At 35.7% G+C, this 6423-nt stretch overlaps 1 protein-coding gene and 1 long non-coding RNA gene across 2 annotated transcripts in view; one reads left to right on the top strand and one right to left on the bottom strand.

Moving 5' to 3' along the window:
* The window catches only part of ERP44 (endoplasmic reticulum protein 44), a 119816-nt gene that overhangs the window by 73237 nt on the left and 40156 nt on the right, over nt 1–6423 (top strand). The window contains exons 5-6 of the mRNA NM_015051.3: nt 3538–3722; nt 5033–5148. Of these exons, the coding sequence (NP_055866.1) occupies nt 3538–3722; nt 5033–5148 (301 nt within the window). The remainder of the gene's footprint in view (nt 1–3537; nt 3723–5032; nt 5149–6423) is intronic.
* Nucleotides 1–6423, bottom strand: part of LOC105376176 (uncharacterized) — a 33752-nt gene that overhangs the window by 24592 nt on the left and 2737 nt on the right. The window lies entirely within an intron of this gene.

Below are 6423 nucleotides of genomic sequence, written 5' to 3'. Positions count from 1 at the left end.
CAGTATTATATAGAAGTGATAGCAGGCATCTTTTTTCTTTTTTGATCTCAGCATGAAAGCTGTTAGTATATCACCATTTCAGTTGTTTGTTATATCAGCTTTTAGTATATCACAAGTCAGTTGTTTATTTAAATATCCTTTTTTTCAATTAAGGAAGTTCTCTTCCTAGTTTGCTAAGAGTGTTTAAGCATGAATGAATATAGATTTTTATCAAATGTTTTTCTGCTTTTGAGAGATAACAAAATTTGTCTCTTTCATTCTGTCAGTGTTGTGATGTACATTAATTGGTTTTCAAATATTTATCTAAACTGAAGTGCTAGACTAAATCCAGCTTTATTGTGATGTATTATCCTTTGTATGTAGTGCTAAGTTTGTTAATATTTCTATTCAAGTTTTGCATCTATATTCTTGAGTAAGATTAACAAATACTTTTTTTTTCTCATAATTTTCTTGTCAGGATTCCCGTGAAGATTACGTTGACCTCAAAAACTAGTTGGGAAGTGTTCCCTGTTTTTGTATTCTCTGGAATAGTTTGTGTAAAATTGCCATTATTGGCTCCTTAAATGTTTGGTAGAATTTACTGGTGAAGATGTGTGGGAATGGAGTTTTCTTTGTGGAAAGGCTTTGAATTAGATTTGGGTTCTTTAATAATTGTAGGATTATTTTTTGAGATGGGGTCTTTCTATGTTTCCCAGTCTAGTCTTGAACTCCTGGGCTCGAGCAAACCTCCTGCCTCAATCTTACCATAGCCGGGGCTATGGGCATGTGTCACTGTACCTGGCAATAATTTTAGGACCATTTATATCTTCTGTTTCTTCTAGTGTCAGTTTTGATTAGTTATATTTTCATGGGAATTATGTGAATCATCAAACTTATTGGAATTAACTTACTGATAATAGCTATCAGTGGAAGGAGCTTAGAAGTATATTTTTTGAAAGAGAACAACATGAGGTCATACCAGTACTTCCAATTCAAATTATAGGGTTTTTACTTAATTACTCAGTTTTATATATGTTTTCCTTATGCTGAAAATCTTGATTCTTAATGGCATTAGCATGATTACTCATGTGCTTTATCTGTAATATATGTGTATGTATTTAATTTCAAAATAACAATGACAGTATTAAATTGTTTTAAAATTTCATTTTGTTTTAATGTTAAACATTTCCATGGTTCCAAAGTCAAAACTATAAAACCAAAGTATAGTCAGGGAATTCATCCCTGACCTCTCCATTTTCTCCCATTGGTGTTTTTTTTTTGTGGGTAGAGGAGAGACAACTATATAAGCAAACATATATAGACATGTAAATATGTGTGCATGTATATACATATGTATTTATATTTCTTCCCCAAGTTTCTTCTCCCTATTTCTTACACAAAATATTTGACCTGTACACACTCTTCTGCACCTGGCTTTTTTTTTTTTTTAACTTGTCTTGAAGATTGCTCCTTAGCAGCAAACAGAGATCTTTTTTATTTCTTTATATTACAGCCTAGTACTTCATTATATGGGTACCATACTTTATTCAGCCAGTCTCCTATTGATGGACATTTAGAGAAATAGTAACTTTGTTGTTGTTGTTGTTGTTGTTGTTGTTGTTGTTGTTGTTGAGTCAGGGTTTCACTCTGTCACCCAGTCTGGAGTGCACTGGCACGATCTTGGTTCACTGCAGCCTCCTCCTCCCAGGTTCAAGAGATTCTCGTGCCTCAGCCACCAGATAGCTGGGATTACAGGCATGTGCCACCATGCCTGGTTAATTTTTGTATTTTTAGTAGAGACAAGGTCTTGCCATGTTGGCCAGGCTGGTCTCAAACTCCTGACCTCAAGTGATCCACCCGCCTCATTCTCCCAAACTTCTGGGATTACAGGCATGAGCCCCTGGGCCTGGCCAAAATAGTAACTTTTAAAAAGGCATTTTCCATTCTCAAGACTACAACACTGTAGTGTAGGCCATTAGAACTATTTGATCTAATTTTTTAAAACTTTTTGTTTATACATCATGCAAAAATTCATTTTATGGCTAGGCACAGTGGCTCACAACTGTAATCCCAGCTTTGGGAGGCTGAGGCGGGAGGATTGCTTGAGCTCAGGAGTTCAAGACTGACCTGGGCAACATAGTGAGACCTCATCTCTACAAAAAATAATTAAAAATTAAAAAAATTTAAGATTAGCCAGGCATGGTGGCACACACCTGTTGTCCCAGCTACTCTGGAGGCTGAAGTGGGAGAATTGCTTACGTCTAGGAAGTTAAGGCCGTGGTGAGCTGTGATCGTGCCACTGTACTCCAGCCTGGGTGACAGAGCAAGACCCTGTCTTCAAAAAAAAAAAAAAGAAATCAAAGTTTCTTATTTTTTTTTTTTTTATGATTTCTCAGGTTATTTATCATTGTAAGTAGGATAAGCTCAAGTCTTTGTGGCTTGTGCTTTATTACAGGTGTCTCTATTTTATTTAAAAGCCTTCTACTTGTTTATGGTACCACTCTCTCATTTCTCAATTTGTAGTACCAATTTAATCTCATTAAATCCTTGCTCAGGTAATAGGACCCATCATCTTTATAGCACCCCAAAGACATAGTCTCTCCTTGTAATTTATCAGGTTGAAAAGGGACATATAGTTGATATGTATCTATTATGCATCTGCTTCAAGGAAGTACCAGCTCCTAAAGCAGACAGATTATTGTCTATGTTAATTATGTATAAATTAAAATGTCTTCAGATTTCTGTGATTTGATGAATAAAGCATTCTTCTCAATCTCAGTATGACCAGTTGTTCCCGTTGTTTATTCATATTTGTCTTCTGTTTAAAGAATTTTAGTAATCATGATTTCTACTTTATAAATCCACATGGAATTTGCCAAAGTGCTATATAATCTTAGTTACTTCGTTTGCCAAAGTGTTATATAATCTTTTCCTCCAGCCCCCCTTCTGAGAGCTCATATTCCATTTTAACCTCTAATATATTTTTAGTATTTTTGATTGCCTATGCTAGAGAGAATAAAGTACAACCTTGACTAAACAAAATATTGTAAGTACTTTTGCCTCTTCCTGGACCATGCAAAGACTTTAGAATATTTAACATAACTTACCTCCCCTCCCCAGCTTATATGCTGCTGTCAGGTATTTTAATGTCTGTCGAACCCCATAAGGCATTATTGCTGTTTTTTGTAGTCATTATTCATGTGCCATGCTTACTGTGGCGTCTGTTGTATTATTTAATTTGATACTTAAGACAATCTTATGTGGTAGAAATGATTATCCTTATATAATAGATGAGAACTAAGGCATGGAGAGTTTATGCAGTTTACCAGTTCACATGGCCAGTAAGTCGCAAATTAGGATTTAAACCCAGTCCAGAACCTGGTCTCTTAAATAATGTAAACTCAAGTCCTGATTATTATTATTTTTTTCTCTCTCACTGAAAAACAATGACTTGAACCAAAAAGTTCTCACTAAGCAATTGTAAGATTTTTGACCATTAGGCAAACAGGCTTGCCCTGACTACATATGAGGGTAAATAATTTTTTTTCATTCTTTTAGCTGACATAGCCCAGAGATACAGGATAAGCAAATACCCAACCCTCAAATTGTTTCGTAATGGGATGATGATGAAGAGAGAATACAGGGGTCAGCGATCAGTGAAAGCATTGGCAGATTACATCAGGCAACAAAAAAGTGACCCCATTCAAGAAATTCGGGACTTAGCAGAAATCACCACTCTTGATGTAAGTTGTAACTTTTGCTAGATTAAACAAACATTCCCTGATTAATGTAAACAAATTCTAATGCAAACAAAAAATCTGGACATTCTCCTATAGTCTATTGCAGTGGATTTGACATACGTATACTTAATGAGTTGAATTTTTTTGAATTAATCTCAAGGCAAATGCTTATGTTATACTGAACTTCTGGATAAAAGATATAGCATGCAGTAAAGCTGTACTAATTTGAATTAATTGAGCACAAAGGAAAGCCTCAATTATAAAGAAATGGAAGTTAAAAGTCAAGTATATACAACCAGAGCTTCTGTATTTTTCTTGTGGAGAGCTTCAGGGTGTCTGCTCTAATTACTTTTGTATGAGCTCTTTTTATGAGTTTTAATGTCCTCTTAAATAGCCTCTTCTTAATAATAAGTTTAGCACACCCCTTTCTTTGTACACTAGGTAGTGTTTTAAAGATAACAAACAACAAAAGCAAAAACAATTGAGTTTGGGCTTTATCACAATCACCAATCATCACTGTCAGGTTTGAGATTTGACTTTACCCTACTTGCAAGCTAAGCTAACCAATTACCATTTCATGGATTCTTTTAGAAGACACAAGACTGCTGGGTCAGAGACAAAGGACTTTATTGCTCACATCACAGCAAGTAGTGTGAGCATGTTTGCATTTGTTTCCTTGCCCTCCAAATCCTATGGAGGCAATACAGAGGGCTCCCCAGATGGATACCTGCACATGCACTGGGTTATGTCACAGGAAAGGGACACTGGGCTTGGGGAACTCACTATTTCAGAGCAAGCAGTAACCCTGCTATTTGTCCTGGCTAGAGGCATTACCTCGTATTTCCGTGTTGCTCGCTACAAGCACAACTCTGAGAAATGGCCTGGATAAAGGATAGTCAGGGTCTTGCATTTTTTGGTGTACCCAGTAAGATGGGTAGGAGTGTGAGAGAGCCATGGAGGAGTCTCTCCAACAGTCACAAGTTATGATTGATACATTGTTTTAACACATTTTAGAATTAGTCCCCTTACTTAGGAAAAGATTGTCACTGATCAAATAGTTATCTATTTCTTAAGAATTTTGAACGCTGGAAGGAAATGTTTATGATTGTATTTATTATAGTTAAGATTGTTTTCAACCCAATGTAATCTTTAACAGTTTTGGACTAGGTGTTAAAAACTAAATATGCATTTATAGTCATACTTCATTTGAACAATGACTGGACTTGTTTAGGTACTAAGATAACGGGTAAATGAAATAACATGTTTATAAAACTATGTATGTTTGCAAAATAATTGCATACTTTATTTTACAGCGCAGCAAAAGAAATATCATTGGATATTTTGAGCAAAAGGACTCGGACAACTATAGAGTTTTTGAACGAGTAGCGAATATTTTGCATGATGACTGTGCCTTTCTTTCTGCATTTGGGTAAGTATCTTATTTAAAAGTGTGTTAGTGGGTTGGTTGGCTGCCATGTTAAATTGCTGTTGTATTTGGTCATTTCCTGAAGATGATCTTTCCAAAAATGATCTCAATCCTTTTAAAATCACTAAACAGTCTTTATACCTGTCTCTGAATTCTTTTTAAGGTTTTAAAAGTCTGTTTTTCTTTCTGTAGTATTATCTATTTCAGAATGTGGGCAAGAGGGAAAAAATGGACAAGTTAACAATTAACTAATTCATGCTTTTATTCAACTCATTTACTAACTCTTACCCTATGTCAGACAAAATGCTAATCTGTGGGGTAACCACAGTGAAACAACACACTGTCTTTCTTGTTAAGAAGCATGAGTTTTATCGTCTTCATTCATCTCCATCTCTCCACCACCTTTTTTTATAGATCTTCCCTGTCTCAGGGGAACAATTCTTTCTAAGGCTAACCTCTTCACTGATGTCCTTGTAACTGGTGTCCTTCAAACTCCTCTGGGGCTTTGATCCATCAGTTGTTCCTGCTTGTGTTTTCAACCTGACCCTTTTCAAGAACTGCTTTCCTTTTCTGAAAACACGCTTCTTTCTTTCCTGACCTGCCTCTTCTCTTAAGCTATAATTTCACCTTTCTTTTTCTTTTTATTTTTTTCAAAGATTAGTTTATGCCTGGCTACCTTGATTTTCTTAAATTCTAACCAGTAAAAAACTTAACCTTTTGGAAGCTAACTTTCACCTCCATTGCTCTAATGAAACTTGTCTCTACACAGTCACAAAATGACTTCTTAATTACCAAATCGAGTGGCCTTTTAAACATCTTACTCCTTTTCAATTCCTCTGAAGGGTGTGATGTTCAACTACCTTTTTCTTTTTTTGCTGTGTCAACACTTACATTGAATCCCCCTGGTTTGCTCCCTACCTGTCTGAATTCTGTGACTTTATCTCCCTTTTTTTTTTCTTTTTCTCAAGATGGAATCATTTTTGTGGTTCTGTTCTTGACCCTCTCTCCTCATTGGAGGTTATCTCAACCATCCTTTGACTTCCATGCAGTATTATTTCTCTTTTCATTGGCTCATGACTATTAGGCTTAACTGTAGTAGCTATCTTGAATGGAGCCTGGATGTCTGGCACAATATATCCTCTCCATTTTTTGACCTTTATTGTTTGTCCTTGCTTTAATGCTTTTGTGAGATTTTGTTTGTATGTTTTATTGTGCGCATTATCAGTTTTTTGTTTTTTAAGCGATTGAGGTCTCACCATGTTGCCCAGGATGGTCTTG

The sequence above is a fragment of the Homo sapiens genome, chromosome 9 (assembly GCF_000001405.40).
Source record: "Homo sapiens chromosome 9, GRCh38.p14 Primary Assembly".
In the NCBI taxonomy this organism is placed as follows: Eukaryota; Metazoa; Chordata; class Mammalia; order Primates; family Hominidae; genus Homo; species Homo sapiens.
Note: the sequence above shows the minus strand (reverse complement) of the source record. Positions and strands in the feature narration are given on the sequence as shown.